The 15,266-nt window shown below is 42.0% G+C and overlaps 1 protein-coding gene across 6 annotated transcripts in view, besides 3 other annotated features; it reads right to left on the bottom strand.

Moving 5' to 3' along the window:
- Positions 1 to 15,266, bottom strand: part of GPAT4 (glycerol-3-phosphate acyltransferase 4) — a 46,802-nt gene that overhangs the window by 30,169 nt on the left and 1,367 nt on the right. Inside the window, exon 1 of one of the 6 annotated variants that reach the window (XM_047421371.1) lies at positions 9,916 to 10,055. The exons of the other annotated variants lie outside the window; for them this stretch is intronic. The gene's annotated coding sequence lies outside the window, so the exon portion shown is untranslated. Of the gene's footprint in view, positions 1 to 9,915; positions 10,056 to 15,266 lie in introns of those variants that run through there. 6 annotated transcript variants of the gene reach the window in all.
- Positions 118 to 619: an enhancer, noted in NCBI's record as "H3K4me1 hESC enhancer chr8:41451733-41452234 (GRCh37/hg19 assembly coordinates)". NCBI's record gives its function as "activates a minimal SCP1, AML or CMV promoter by ChIP-STARR-seq in naive H9 embryonic stem cells {active_cell/tissue: H9 hESC(naive)}" and the evidence as "EXISTENCE:reporter gene assay evidence [ECO:0000049][PMID:30033119]".
- Positions 7,672 to 7,771: an enhancer, noted in NCBI's record as "active region_27289". NCBI's record gives its function as "activates an Ori minimal core promoter by ATAC-STARR-seq in GM12878 lymphoblastoid cells {active_cell/tissue: GM12878}" and the evidence as "EXISTENCE:reporter gene assay evidence [ECO:0000049][PMID:35858748]".
- Positions 7,882 to 8,021: an enhancer, noted in NCBI's record as "active region_27288". NCBI's record gives its function as "activates an Ori minimal core promoter by ATAC-STARR-seq in GM12878 lymphoblastoid cells {active_cell/tissue: GM12878}" and the evidence as "EXISTENCE:reporter gene assay evidence [ECO:0000049][PMID:35858748]".

The raw sequence follows: 15,266 nt of genomic DNA, 5'->3' as shown, positions 1-15,266 counted from the left end.
TGGCTTACGCCTGAAATCTCAGCACTTTGGGAGGCCGAGGCGGGCAGATCACAAGGTCAGGAGATGGAGACCATCCTGGCTAACACGGTGAAACCCCGTCTCTACTAAAAATACAAAAAATTAGCCAGGTGTGGTGGCGGGCGCCTGTAGTCCCAGCTACTTGGGAGGCTGAGGCAGGAGAATGGCGTGAACCCGGGAGGCGGAGCTTGCAGTGAGCCGAGATCGGACCACTGCACTCCAGCCTGAGCGACAGAGCGAGACTCCATCTCAAAAAAAAAAAAAAAAAGTTTGTAATAAGTCAGAAAGTTGAGACATATCGAAGAATTGTCTGCGAAAGTTGTGAGAAAAAGAAGTTATTAAAAAAAGGAATTTATGCAAGAAATGTTGTATAATATAGGCCTCCTGAATGTAAAACTATTTAAAAAAACAGTTTATGTGCAAGGTATATTAGGAAAGTAAAATATACCTTTGGTAAATGGATTATAAGCAGGCATAGGAATGTAAATTTTTACCTACATTAAAAGGTTAAAAAAATTGTTTTAAAGGTTTACGCAAGTTTTAAAACGTTAATTGTAAAGAAAATTCTGTGTGTAAACATATTGGCTAAAGTTAAAGAGGTATCATCCAGTTTTTCTGTAAACTGAACATTAAAATAAAAACACAATGGGTTTTTCTTAAAGCACTAACCTGCTCTTTAACAAAAAATTATAAAAGGTTAAAAAGAGCCTATAAATATCTTACCTTATGGTCAGACATTAAAAATTGAATAAATATGTCTACAAAGTTTTATTAAAACCAAGTTTAACATTAATAACACACTAATATAAAAATGAAATATAGCTTATCTGGTATAAAAATCATCCAGGAAGCATTGTCAAATATAAAATGGTGTTTGGCTTTCTTTGTTCTAAAAACTAATAAAAATAGGTGCTAAAGGAAATTTCTCAGTAGAAAGGCACCAAGGACTATAAAGTCCACTGCTGATGTCCCCACATTTAAAACAAAAGGTGAATTTCTCAAAAATCATATACTTGGTTTATCTTCCACTAAACTAAAAGTCTTTTAGCACATGTACCACCCCCAGAATTTCCGGTAAACCAGCACCAGCCTGAGGATCACGTTCTCATCAAAGGGTGAAAAGAAGGGAAACTAGAGCCAGCCTGGGAAGGACCCTACCTTGTGCTGTTAACCACAGAGACTGCTGTTCGTACAGCAAAAAAGGGATGGACTCATCACACCCGAGTCAAGAAAGCAGCACCTCCTCCAGAGTCGTGGGCCATAGTCCCAGTCACACCTGAGGCTGAGTGGTCCACACACGGCCGAAGCATGAGGAAACTCACCGTGGGACTTATTTTCCTTAAATTTTGGACTTGTACAGTAGGGACTTCAACTGAACTTCCTCAAACTAAGGACTATTCCCAGTGTATACATCCAGTCAAAAAGTTAAAACTGTCTTTTTGTTCTATAGTTATTATAAATGTGCTGGAACTCTAAAAAGGACTTGTTTGTATAATGCCACACAGTACAAGGTATGTAGCCCAGGAAGTGACCAGCCTGATGTGTGTTATAACCCCTCTGAGCCTCCCATGTCCACAGTTTTTGAAATAAGATTAAGGACTGAAGACTGGTGGGGACTCGTAAGTGATACAAGTAAAGTATTAGCCAGAACAGAAGAAAAAGGGGTGCCCAAACGCATAATCTTGAAATTTGATGTCTGTGCTGTCATTAACAGCAATAAGTTAGGAAGAGGATGTGGCTCTTTTGATGGGGAAAAAGGCTATATGACCAAAAGTAAGTATATTTGTTATGAATTAGGACTGTGTGGAAATGAATGTGGATACTAGTCTTGTGTCATTTGGGCCACGTGGATAAAAAATGAAAAGGATCCAGTCCACCTTCAGAAAGGAAAAAGTGGCCCTTCCTGTACTAAGGGACAATGTAACTCCTTAGAGCTAGTAATAACCAATCCCCTTGATCCTCACAGGAAAAAAGGGGAGCGTGTGACCTTAGGAATCGATGGGGCTGGACTGGATCCTCAAGTAAATATCTTAGTTCAAGAAGAAGTTTACAAACACTCTCCTGAGCCAGTGTTTCAAACTTTCTATGATGAACTAAATGCGCTAGTACCAGAAATTCCAGGAAAAACATGAAATGTTTTTGCAATTAGCCGAGCATTTAGCCCAGTCTCTCAATGTCACTTCATGTTATGTATGTTGAGGAACTGTAATGGGAGATCAATGGCCATGAGAAGCCCGAGAATTAGTACCTACAGACCCAGTTCCTGATGAATTCCTGGCTCAAAAGAATCACCCTGATAATTTCTGGGTCCTAAAAGCCTCAATTTTTGGACAATATTGCATAGCTAGAGAAGGCAAAGAATTCACTCACCCCGTAGGACAACTTAGTTGTCTGGGACAGAAACTGTATATTGGTACCACAAAAACAGTCACTTGGTGGAGTTCAAATCACACAGAAAGGAATCCATTTAGTAAATTCCCAAAGTTGCAAACCACATGGACCCACCTGGAGTCCCACCGGGACTGGACAGCCCCCACTGGATTATACTGGATATGTGGGCATAGAGCTTAAGCCAAATTACCCAACCAGTGGGCAGGTAGTTGTGTTATTGGCACTATTAAACCATCTTTCTTCCTACTGCCCATAAAAACAGGTAAACTCCTGGGCTTCCCTGTCTATGCTTCCTGCAAAAAAAGAAGCATAGCTATAGGAAATTGGAAAGATGATAAATGGCCCCCTAAGAGAATCATACCATATTATGGGCCTGCTAATTGGGCACAAGATGGCTCGTAGGGATACTGGACTGCCATTTACATGCTCAACCGAATCAAACGTTTACAAGCTGTCTTAGAAATAATCACTAATAAAACTGGCAGAGCCTTGACTATTCTGGCCTGGCAAGAAACTCAGATGAGAAATGCTATCTATCAAAATAGATTGGCTCTTGACTACTTGCTAGCAGCTGAAGGAAGGGTCTGTCTGGAATTTAAACTTAGTAATTGCTGTCTACACATAGATGATCAAGGGCCAGTAGTTGAAGACACAGAGATATGACAAAACTGGCACATGTGCCAATGCAAGTGTGGCATGGATTTGATCCTGGGGCCATGTTTGGAAAATGGTTCCCAGTGCTAGGAGGATTTAAAACTCTTATAATAGGAGTTACAATAGTAATAGGAACCTGCTTACTACTCCCTTGTTTGCTACCTGTACTTCTTCAAATGATAAAAAGCTTCATCATTACCTTAGTTCACCAAAATGCTTCAGCATAAGTGTACTATATGAATCACTATCGATCTGTCTTGCAAGAAGACATGGGTAGTGAAGAAGAAAGTGAGAACTCCCACTAATGAGTGAGGTTCTCAAAGGGAGGAAATGAACAACTACTGACTTCGCCTTAAAATCTGCGCAATGTTTTAAGGGAGGAGACCACCCTTCATACTGTCTTATGCCCAATTTCTGCCTCTAAAGAAAGAAGTATAAAATCTAAAAGGCAGAAATGGAATCCACAGGCAGCCCAGCACCACACCCTGGGCCTGGTAGTTAAAAACCAACCTCTGATCTAACCTCTTGTGTTATCTATAGATTTCAGACATTATATGGAAAAGCATCGTGAAAATCCCTGTCCTGTTCTATTCCATTCTGATTACCGGTGCATGCAGCCCCCAGTCACGTACCCCCTGCTTGCCCAATCGATCACAACCCTCTCACGTGGAACCCCTTAGAGTTGTAAGCCCTTAAAAGGGACAGGAATTACTCACTCAGGGAGCTTGGTTTTTGGAGATGTGAGTCCGCCAACGCCCCCAGCTGAATAAAACCCTTTCCTTCTACAACTTGGTGTCTGAGGGGTTCTTGACTATGGCTCGTCCTGCTATAGTTTCATAGAACTCAAGGCCCTTCCCTTGTTACCTCGTTTGTTTATCCCCAGTCCATCAATCTGTATGATTTGCATTTTACACATCAGGAAGCTGAGAGAGGTAGCTGCAGACCCAGTTCCTCTGTACGGCTCCATGACATTCACACATTTCTGAAGACAAAATGCTCTAGTCTACAAGGACATGCTATTCAGTGGTGCTGGGTCATGAACCCTAGTTCCTAGTTCTGATGGCCACTTCTTACATTTCCTTCCACTTTCACACTGTCACTGCGATTGCTAACATTGACTGAGTGCTTACAACATGCCCAGCACTGCGCTAAGGAGCATTTCACATATACCACCCTCAAGTAATCCTCACGATGGCTGTACGGTGGAGTCATTGTCATCCTGATCTACAGGTGAGGACACTGAGGTTGGGAAGATTAAGGGACTCAAGTTACCCAGGGCTGCAGAGAGTTGGAAGCAGGACAAGAGCATTCGTCTCCAGGCCCCTGCTCTGTAACCCCTACTTCTTCCTGTCTCCCAAACTACATGCTTTAAAATGAAGTAGCACTGGCCGGGCACAGTGGCTCATGCCTGTAATCCCACTTTGGGAGGCTGAGGCAGGTGGATCACCTGAGGTCAGGAGTTTGAGACCAGCCGGGCCAACATGGTGAAACCCCATCTCTACTAAAAATACAAAAATTAGCCAAGCATCATGGCGCATGCCTGTAATCTCAACTACTCAGGAGGCTGAGGCAGGAGAATTGCTTGAACCTGGGAAGACTCCAGCATGGGTGACAGAATGGGACTCTTTAAAAAAAAAAAAAAGAAGTAGCAAGCCAGCCTGCTCTACAGAACTTGTGATTAGAGAAAACCATCAAGATCTGGACTCCATTATCAGAATTTGGTGGTGGTCTCAGAATCCAAGATACAGACACGCTCTTGTGTTTTGATAAACGCTCGTACATGCCAGTTTTCTAACCGTGTTCTAGAGGTAGTTCAGGAACCTGAGTTACCGAAGTTCTCAGGCCTGTCCAGGGCAACATCTCCTTTCCTCCACCATTGCTGTCTCTCCACTCCCTGTGGACAGCACTGCCATGGGAAAGAGGCAGCAAGGGCCTCTGTCCTACTGGCCAGGGTTACCCTGAGTTCCACAGACCCAAGGTGATTGACACCAGGGTCACTTTGACCCCCATGCCAGAGTGTAGATCACTCCTCTAAGGATCATAGCTAAGAATTCCCAAGGTTATTCTGGGTTCATGTCCCCAAACCAGTAAACACCTGCAGCAATAAACCAATTTCTTCACCTAGTTCAGGGGTTGGCCAGTCACAGCCCACATCTGGCTACAGTCTTTTTCACAAAGACTCATGAGTTTTTACATTCTTAGACTCTTTTAAACAGATGCAAAAAACAAAGAAGATTTGAAAAACCCTAAAATACTCACTATCTGCCCCTTACAGATACAGACCCTAAAATACTCACTATCTGCCCCTTATAGGAAGAGTCTGCACTCATGACCTTGCTAGTCTTTCCTCCGCTCAGAGGCCCCCTGCTGGCTCTCCCAGTCCCATCCCATCCCACCCCATCCCATCCCGCCACACCCCACCCCGAGTTCCTTTTGCTGAATGCCAGCCTCCAGGACAGAGAACACCAAACTGGCCTAACAAGTTATTTGGCCAACACTAAACAACACTCACACAAATTCTTAGAAGTAGAGGAAAGAGCAAGCCAACTGAGTTTATCAAATCGGTAGTGTTTGGAAACTGAAAAATCATTAAAGCCAGAGGTAACTGGTGGCTTAAGGTCCCCTTAATACAGACTTTGATGTCTAGAAATATCAAAACTGTTCACATCAGAACTCAATCAAACCACAATTTCTAGATAACCGTTCTTTTACGAGAGGCTATCACTTTGCCTCAAGTAAATATAAGCATGACCCCTTAAGAATGTGAGCTGGGGAAGCCATTCATTCAGAGGAATATTCACTTATTCCCTCAACGTCCACAGATGGGTTCCAACCAAACTCACCCAGAATCATCAGGGCCAACGTTCCCCCACAGGCCAAACATTCCAGAGAATCAGCTAGTTCTGAGTCTTTTAGGAAGGAAGCTGCCTCCATTCCAGGAAGGCAACAGAGCCCATCACTAAGCTAACCTAACTCTTCAACCCATGGAATGGCAAATCTGGGCCTTTAGGCTCCCTAATGGCCTCAGTTCTTGGAGTGACTAGTTCATTCATTCAACAAATACTCACTGGGCACACAGTGTGTGCCAGACAGTACATCAGGTGTTAGCTGTTGTTCAGCGGTGAAAAGATATGCCCATCCGGAAACAAGCACACAAAAAGTTGTAATTTCAAACTATGATGACTGTTGACAAGGAAAATACACTCTTGGAAAAGAAAACAAAACAGAAGGAAAGGAAAAGGAAAAGAAAAGAAGAGAAAAGAGAGAAGAGAGAAAAGGAAAGGGAAAAGGAAAAGGAAAAGAAAAAAGAACAGAACAGAACAGAACTTAATTTAAATCAAGGCATCTATACCAATTCTCTCCCAATCACAAGGTATTGGACTGGGACTATTATCACTCCTAAATGCAGAATCAAATACTTTTCAGTCGGCTCTCTGTGACACATCCCAACTCAGGGACCATAACTGCTAGAATATGTGCAGACAGAGGCCCTGTGCCAACTCAAAAGGTAAAAGAAAGGCCACTTTATTAATACATGCTTAGATCACAAAAGAATGCACGTATTTTTAGAGCACACCAAGCACAATGCCTGTCACATGTTAGATCTCAATGAATGGTATATATTATCATTTCATTAGAATCAGAAGAAACTCAGTCTTCAGTCCTAGGTACCAAACTTCAAAAAGGCTTAGAAAGGAAAGCATTATAACGTATGACACAAAATCCACAGGCCAAAAAACACAACTTGCCTAGCAAGCAGGAAGTGTTCAATAAAAAGGTTAGTCGTAAAATGGAGAAATTCGAATTGAAACTACAGTGAGATGGCAAAGAAATTCTGATAAACCACTGCACTGGTGAGAATGGAAAAACATCCTCAAATACTGCTGGTTGGAGTGTAAAAAGGGTTCAACCTCTACAAAGAACAATTTAGCGACTGTCATCAAAATTTTAAATGTATGTAACCTTAGATCCAGCAATTCCACTTCTAGAAATGTATCCTAAGGATAAATCGGACCAGTGGTTCCCAACCAAGGGTGATTTTTTTACCCCCTTGGGGAGCATCTGGCAATATCTACAGGGATTTTTGGCTGTCACGACTTGGGATGGGAGTGCTACTACTGGCATCTAGTGCAGTGCGCAGGGCAGAGATGATGCTGCACATCTTACAATGCACAGGACAGCTCCCACACAATGAGGAACTGTCCAGCCCCAAATGTCAGTAGTGCAGAAGTGTATAAACCCTGTATTTTAAAGCATGAGCAAAGTGATAATATGTGCTGGGATACTGACTGCGGCATTGTCTGTAATATCAAAACAAACATCAACGTCTCCCAATAGAGGATATAATGGAATACTATTCATCTAAGCCCCTGTCACTAGGAAGGAGAAGGGGAATTTGAATGTATTTCCCAAGAAGTAATGACATTATACTAATGAGGTTTTCAACTACCACTTTTGCCTAAAGGTGTTTATATGCCTCTGAAATGGCTGGAGCATGCTTTCTCATTCAGAAAGTTCACATGGCCTGACAGGGAGGCAAACATGGCCACAGCCAGTGTCTGCAGAGCATACTGGGGGCAAATGAGACTCTCCAGAAAACAGGAACATAAATGCTTAAGGCTTCAAAATGGCACTCTGTGTAAATGCATTAGTAAAAACTGAGACTCTCACAGTAATTCTGAATCAGGACAGTTGGTATCCATGCACAGATGGCAGGGGCATGAGCCACGTGGGCCCTCAGAGACCCAGCCAGAACCATCCCCTGGCCACTAAAGGCTGCACTGGTTCTCCACCCAGGATGCTTATTTGCATCTCTGGGCCTCAGCCCAGATGAAATAAATTAGAATCTCTGCAGGTACAATCTGGATTTGTTCTTAACACACTCGAGCGATTCTGATGTGGAGCCAGTTGAGACTACTGGGTTAAGGGTTCTTACCAGTTAACTGAGAAAGGACAACTGAAACTGAGAAGACAACCATCTCTGAGCACAAATTATCCATACGTAAAAGGCATCTAGTTCTCTAAAAAAAGGAGGGGGATCACATTCATAAGAGAGGTGGTGAGGCTCTAGAACGACATCCCAGGGCATGAAAGCTGGTGGAAGCCCTTCAGTACTGGAGAGCACTCAGGTCAGACCGGGCTGGCTGTCACCTAGAAAAAGCGGATTTGCTTGGGACACATGAAGCAAGGGAACTGGTGCTATGGTTGGCAGGTATGGGGTGCAAATTCTAGCTCAATACTAAGAATCCAACCCTCACACTTTGGTGGTGGGAATGTAAGACAGTGCAGCTCGGAGAATGGTTAAACAAAGTTACCATGTACCTCGCAATTCTACTCCTAAGTACATACCCAAGAGAAAGACAAACTGTCTACACCAAAAAAATTGCACATGAATGCTTACAATGGCATTATTCAGAACAGCCAAAAGACGGAAACAACCAAAATGTCCATCAACTGATGACTGGATAAACAAAATGTGGTGTATCCATACAATGGAACCTTTGGCCATAAAAATGAAGAAATGATACACGCTATAACATGGATGAATCTTCAAAACATCATACTAAGTGAATGAAACCCATTGAAAAGACCACATATTGATTCCACTTATACAAAATAGGCAAATCTACACAGACAGAAAGTAGATTGTTGGTTACTTTAGAGCTGGCGAGAGTGGGGAGATACAAGAGTGATAGCTAAAACGTTTCTTTCTGAGGTGACAAAAATGTTCTAAAACTGACTCTGTTGATGACTATACACATCTGTGAACATACTTTCATTAGGTGAATTGTATCTCAATAAAGCTATTTTTAAAAGAATCTAAGATTAAGTTGTTCAAAAAGAATAGGCTGCATAGGGAGACCTTCACCTACAACTGCATTCTGCAGAGTGGCAGATACATTATGGTGATTAGACTGGATGTCTTTTAAAAATCCTTCCTGAAACAAGTTTTTTGTCCTTACGTCTTTATTTAAAATTGCAGAATGTCAGGGAAGCAGTAAAGCATGATGGCCAAACATACAGGGAATCAGACAAGCTACATTCAAAACCAGCCTCCCCTACCTTCTGGCTGTCTGACCTCAAAAAAGTCACATTCCATGCTTCAGTTTTCTCATCTGTAAATTGGGAATAATACATATCCTGTGGTATTGTTGTCAAGACTGAACATGATGCCTATCAAGCTATCAGTGTAGTGCTTGGCACAAAATCCTCTATAAATAGAAGCTTCTACTACTAATCATCACCATAAAGCTGGAGGCAATAATAATAAAATGATGACAAACCACAACTTTAGTAGTTAATCTTTCAGAATTCTAGCCCAATGTCTTCATTTTATGGCTCAAATAACCGAGCCTCGGAAGGGTTTGATGATGGGGACAAGTTACGGAATGGCTGGTAACAGAGGCAGGACTAACACGCCCATCTGATGTCCAGTCGAGTGCACTTCTTGCTTCCCAGGCTGACTCCTCACTTGCTTTAGGGTGGATTACAATTCAGAAAAAAGCATCCATTTCTCCTAGTTTACTGTCAGAACATACATAGGCCCACCAAATGCCCCAACTGTAATGTAAACAAACACGCACACACAGGCATGAGGAAATGTGTGCTACGCTGAATTTAACGTCGAGTGTATCGGGACTGGTAGAGTGTAAGAAATTTGCTTGAATAGGAAGCTGTTGCTTAGTGGGGAAACTGCATGTTTCCAAACAGGGCAGCTCTCAGAGCGACTCAGTTGACATGAACCTGAAGTGCTAAAAACCCAGAACACACATAGCTGGCATCAATCCTGGATAAAATAAATTACCCAAGACAAAGCCAGGATCCAACTGGCCAAAGGATGATTCAACTCACAGAGAAGACAGAACATGGTCAGGTTCGGGGCCTTGGTCTTATCTAAGATCATTATGCCCTCCAGAACTTTCTTGAGTTAGAACTGGATAAGTAACACGGCACTGGTACCAAGTTCACCCCAAAGCAACGGAACCATCTCTTGAAGCTGGCAAAACAAAAAACAGAAAACAAAACCAAAAAAAAGAGGCTATTTTGATGATGACAATTTGATTTGCTGGAGCTTTAAGACCCAAGACAATTCATTATTCGACCTGAACACTGCTCTGATGGCTCAATTTCAATACCAGTTCTTGAAATCTGAGTACTGCATATGTAATTAGAAGCAACTTCCTGGCCTTTTTCTTGTTCAAAAAATCTTTTTATCCAATTTACTTCACTCAGCATAATTATACTGAGAACCATCCATGTTGCTGCATGTGTCAACAGTTTATTCCTCTTGATTGCTGAGCTGTATTCCAGTATATGGATATACCCGTTTCTTCATCCATTCCCCTACTGATGGACACTAAGGTTGTTCCAGTTTGAGGCTATTACAAATAAAACTGCTATCTACAAGTCTTTGTATGGACATATACTTCATTTCTCTTGGGTAAATACCTAGGAGTGGAATGACAAATTCCAAAATGGGTTGTACCATTTTGTATTCCCACTAGCAGCGTAGGGAAGTCTCACTTGTTCCACATCTTCACCAATACAGTCTTTTAAATTTACACACATCACTGGCCAGGCGCAGTGGCTCACACCTGTAATTTCAGCATTCTGGGAGGCCGAGGTGGGCGGATCACTTGAGGACAGGAGTTCAACAACAGCCTGGACAACAAGGAGAGACCCCATTTCTACTAAAAATACACAAATTAGCTGGGCGTGGTGGTGCATTCCTGTAATCCCAGCTATTTGGGAGGCTTAGGTGGGAGGATCACCTGAGTCCAGTCGGCTGAGGCTGCAGTGAGCCATGACAGTGCCACTGCACTCCAGCCTGAGCAACAGAGCAAGACCCTGTCTTAAAAAATGAAACCTTTTCATCACAAGCGCACAAATTCGTGACAGCAGACTTTTTTGTTCATCTCTCTGCAAATTCAAAATACTTCTAATTGTGCAAAGAAAATCACTAAAACATGAAAGAAAAAACCAATGACCACAACCACAAACTCTAACCTCAGACCTGAACATTACTAAGCAAAATAAAACATTCCTTCATCTTTATGTTCCACTGACAGTGATTCTCTGCAGTCCAACAGAGCAGCCACTAACCACGTGTGACCTTGGAGCACTTAAAATGTGTTGTGAATGTAAAATGCACACTGGAGTTCAATGACTTAGCATGAAAAAAATGCATGTAAAATATCCCATTAATAATTTTTATATTGATTATGTTTCAAAGTAATATTCTGGATAAACTAGGTTAAATAAAATATATTGTTAAAATTATTTTCACCTGTTTCTACTTTATACAATTTTTTTAAAAAAATTTAAATTGACTTTCAAATCAAAGTCAATATATAGGAGCTAAAAATGATCTCATAGACAGTAGAATATAATAGATACCAGCAGCTGGGAAGGGTGGACGTTGAGAGCTTGGTTAATGGATAGAAAAAAAAAACTTAAATGGAACGAATGAGTTCCAGTATTCAATAGCAAAGTAGGATGACTATAGTTACCAATTTCTTGTACATATATATATATTATTTTTTTTTTGAGACAGTCTCATTTTGTGGCCCAGGCTGGAGTGCAGTGGTGCGATCTCTGCTCACTGCATCCTTTGCCTCCAGGTTCAAGCAATTCTCGTGCCTCAGCCTCCCTCATACCTGGGATTACAGGCACAGGCCACCACAGCCGGCTAGTTTTTTTTGTATTTTTAGTGGAGAAGGGGTTTCATCATGTTGGCCAGGCTGATTTCAAACTCCTGACCTCAAGTGATCTACCCACTTTGGCCTCCCAAAGTGCTAGGGTTACAGGCATGAGCCACCACGTCAGGCCAATTTCTTGTATATTTTAATTTGAAATGTTAAGTAGATTTGAAATGTTCCCAACACAAAGAAATGATGTATGTTTCAGGTGCTGGATATCCTAAATACTCTGATTTTATCATTACACATTCTATCCATGTGGGCAAATATTACTGTACACTATAAATACGTAAAATTACTGTTTGTCAATTTCTTAAAAATTGATACATAATTTTACATATGTATGGAGCACAATGTGATGTTTTGAGATACACCCACACACACACACACACACACTCTCTCTCTCTCCCTCCCCTTGTGGAATGATTAAATCAACCTTATCTATTTCTTTGTGCTTTTTAAAAAAGCATTATTATAAAATTTAAAATTGTGTATATAGCATATATAATATTTCTATGGGACAGCACTGATCAAAAATTTTTAAAGGAGACTCAAAATAATGTATCTTCAACTGGCAAAGAAAGAAAGAAAGATGTGTGTGTGTGTGTGTGTGTGTGTGTGTGTGTATACTTTCCCACCCTATTTCTCCAAGGTGAAGAAAATGGTACAGCAGAAAGGGCTTAGATCTGGAACCAGGACTGCCTTTAGGTTCTAGGTGCAACTCTTACTGTCTAGTCTATGTGTCCCTGAATACATCATTCAGCTTCGGCCACGTGCAGTGTCTCACGCCTGTAATCCCAGCACTTTGGGAGGCTGAGGTGGGTGGATCACCTGAGGTCAGGAGTTCGAGACCAGCCTGGCCAACATGGTGAAATCCCATCTCTACTAAAAATACAAAAATTAACTGGGCGTGGTGGCGCATGCCTGTAATCCCAGCTACTTGGGAGATAGGGAAATCATTTGAGCTCAGGAGGTGGAGGGTTGCAGAGAGCCGAGATCTCGCCACCGCACTCAGGCCTGGGCGACAGAGGAAGACTCAGTCTCCAAAAAAAAAAAAAAAAAAAAAAAAAAAAAAAATCATTGAACTTCCCTTGATTTAAGCTTCCTGATCATTTTTTTTTTTTAATTCAAACAAGTCGGCCGGGTGCGATGGCTCACGCCTGTAATCCCAGCACTTTGGGAGGCCGAGGCGGGGGGATCACGAGGTCAGGAGATCGAGACCATCCTGGCTAACACGGTGAAACCCTGTCTCTACTAAAAAATACAAAAAAAAAATTAGCCGGGCGTGGTGGCAGGCGCCTGTAATCCCAGCTACTGAGGAGGCTAAGGCAGGAGAATGGTGTGAACCCGGGAGGCGGAGCTTGCAGTGAGCCGAGATTGCGCCACTGCACTCCAGCCTGGGCGACAGAGCAAGACTCTGTCTCAAAAAAAAAAAAAAAAAAAAAGTCAACAAAGGCCTGGCATGGTGGCTCATGTCTGTAATTCCGACCCTTTGGGAGGCTGAGGCGGGAGGACCGTTTGAGCCAGGGAGGCTGAGGGTGCAGTGAGCCTTGATCATGCCACTGCACTCCAGCCTGAGCCACAGATCAAGACCATCTCTATAAAATAAATAAATAAAAGTCAAGTGCAAATGTATTACGCTCCTGTTTTACAAAGCATTTTTCTATTATTGCAGATCTTCGGTTTACAAATTAACTGGAGGTGGGATCCAAACATACTAAGATTGTACAAGGCAAAATGAAGAGAGCCCTAGATGAGACTCTGTGTTTGTGTGGCATGTGTACGTGTCTGCATGTGTTTTAAAGGTGAAAAAGTACATTAAAGGACTCAGGGGAAACTCTAAGCACTTGGAAGACTCCTTCTAACTCTAAAATTCTATTCTCTTAAAAAGCCTTAATCATAGTGTACGCTATTACATGGTTTAGTGATACATGGAACGGATGATATTCCGTCAAGTTCTCTCCATGAGCACAATGACACAGTAGGAAGTAAAAGACACGTCATAATGAGGTTCTACTTTACCCAAACAAACAATTCTGCAGTACAGTTCATGTTTAACCAGGGCCAAATCATCTCCAGATAGCTTAGAGAGTTTTGTTTTGTTTTTAATAAAAGCTAACTTGTGGTGACAAGCACACACAAGAAAAGTGGGTTTTTCTTTAGCAGAAACCACTTAGCAAGTTAGGCTAGCCTCTGAAGAGCCTAGCCACAACACTCCTCACACCAAACACAAAATAGACACACAACAGTTGCCTCCTCCTCCCTCCTCTATCTTTAGGGGTAATGATTTACCATGACACTCAAATGCTGTTATTGCAGTGGTACTTCCATAAACTGGACATGCATAACAACTATTGTATTTAGGTCACAAACTCACAAAAGAAAAGTCCATCCTGAAAGTAAGTTGACAACTATGTCATCATATAAATAACCTAAACTTCCATGAAAACTCAAAGACCCCTAACATGAGGACTTGCTTGTTCCCAGCATTCCTTGGAGAGGCAGAATATCCCCATTTTAAGGGTAGGAAAATTGAGGAATAAGTACTGAATTTACCAGTCTTTGTTGAGATAAGGAAATGTAATAGCATAAATTTTGCTAGGAAATGCATATTATGGTTTTGTAAGAAAGTCTAACCCATGGTCCAAGAAGCCCAGATTCTTACCTATTAATGGCATGAAAGGCTTTCTGAGATGATGCTATTGTTCTCTCAGAAAAAGAAGAGTAACACTCTTAAGTCATTCTGGTTTCCCTTAGTAACTCTTTCTTAAATAGCCGTGAATGTTATCTACACCGTTTATAGCTTGTTCTTCTTCTCAAACTGGTATACCACTTCTAAGGTCAGAATTTTATCATGTTCCCTAAAAACTATTATCAGAACTTCTCGTCTGCCCCAAATTGATTTTTAAGAAATAATTTAAGGCATTTCTTAAAATTCTGAAATTTGGTGGAAAAGCTCATGTTCGCCTATCCAAATCCTTCATGAATGTAAGCGTCTTCATCCACAGCCTTCCTACACCATTTCTCTTTCCTGAAGGCAAGTAGTATGGGTCAGTGGAACCGCAGCCTCGAGGCAGAGGCGAGATTTCAGCCTCTTAAGACCTGCAGCTCTGGACAAGTCACTGAACTTCTCTGGACCTCCAAGGGCTCAGAAAAAAATGAAAACATTGAACAGGACGTTCCGAATGTTCTCATCCAGATCTGAAACACTTTTTTTCTTTTCTTTTTTTTTTTGACACGAGTCTCGCTCTGTCGCCCAGGCTGGAGTGCAGCGGCGCAATCTTGGCTCACTGCAACCTCTGCCTCCTGGGTTCAAGCGATTCTCCGGCCTCAGCCTCCCGAGTAGCTGGGAATACAAGTACTTGCCACCACGTCCGGCTAATTTTTGTATTTTTAGTATATGCAGGGTTTCACCATGTTGGCCAGGCTGGTCTTGAACTCCTGACTTTAGGTGATCCGCCCGCCTCGGCCTCCCAAAGTGCTGGGATTACCGGCGTGAGTCAC

Source organism: Homo sapiens, chromosome 8 (assembly GCF_000001405.40).
Source record: "Homo sapiens chromosome 8, GRCh38.p14 Primary Assembly".
In the NCBI taxonomy this organism is placed as follows: domain Eukaryota; kingdom Metazoa; phylum Chordata; class Mammalia; order Primates; family Hominidae; genus Homo; species Homo sapiens.
This window is presented reverse-complemented; position numbering and strand designations above follow the sequence as displayed.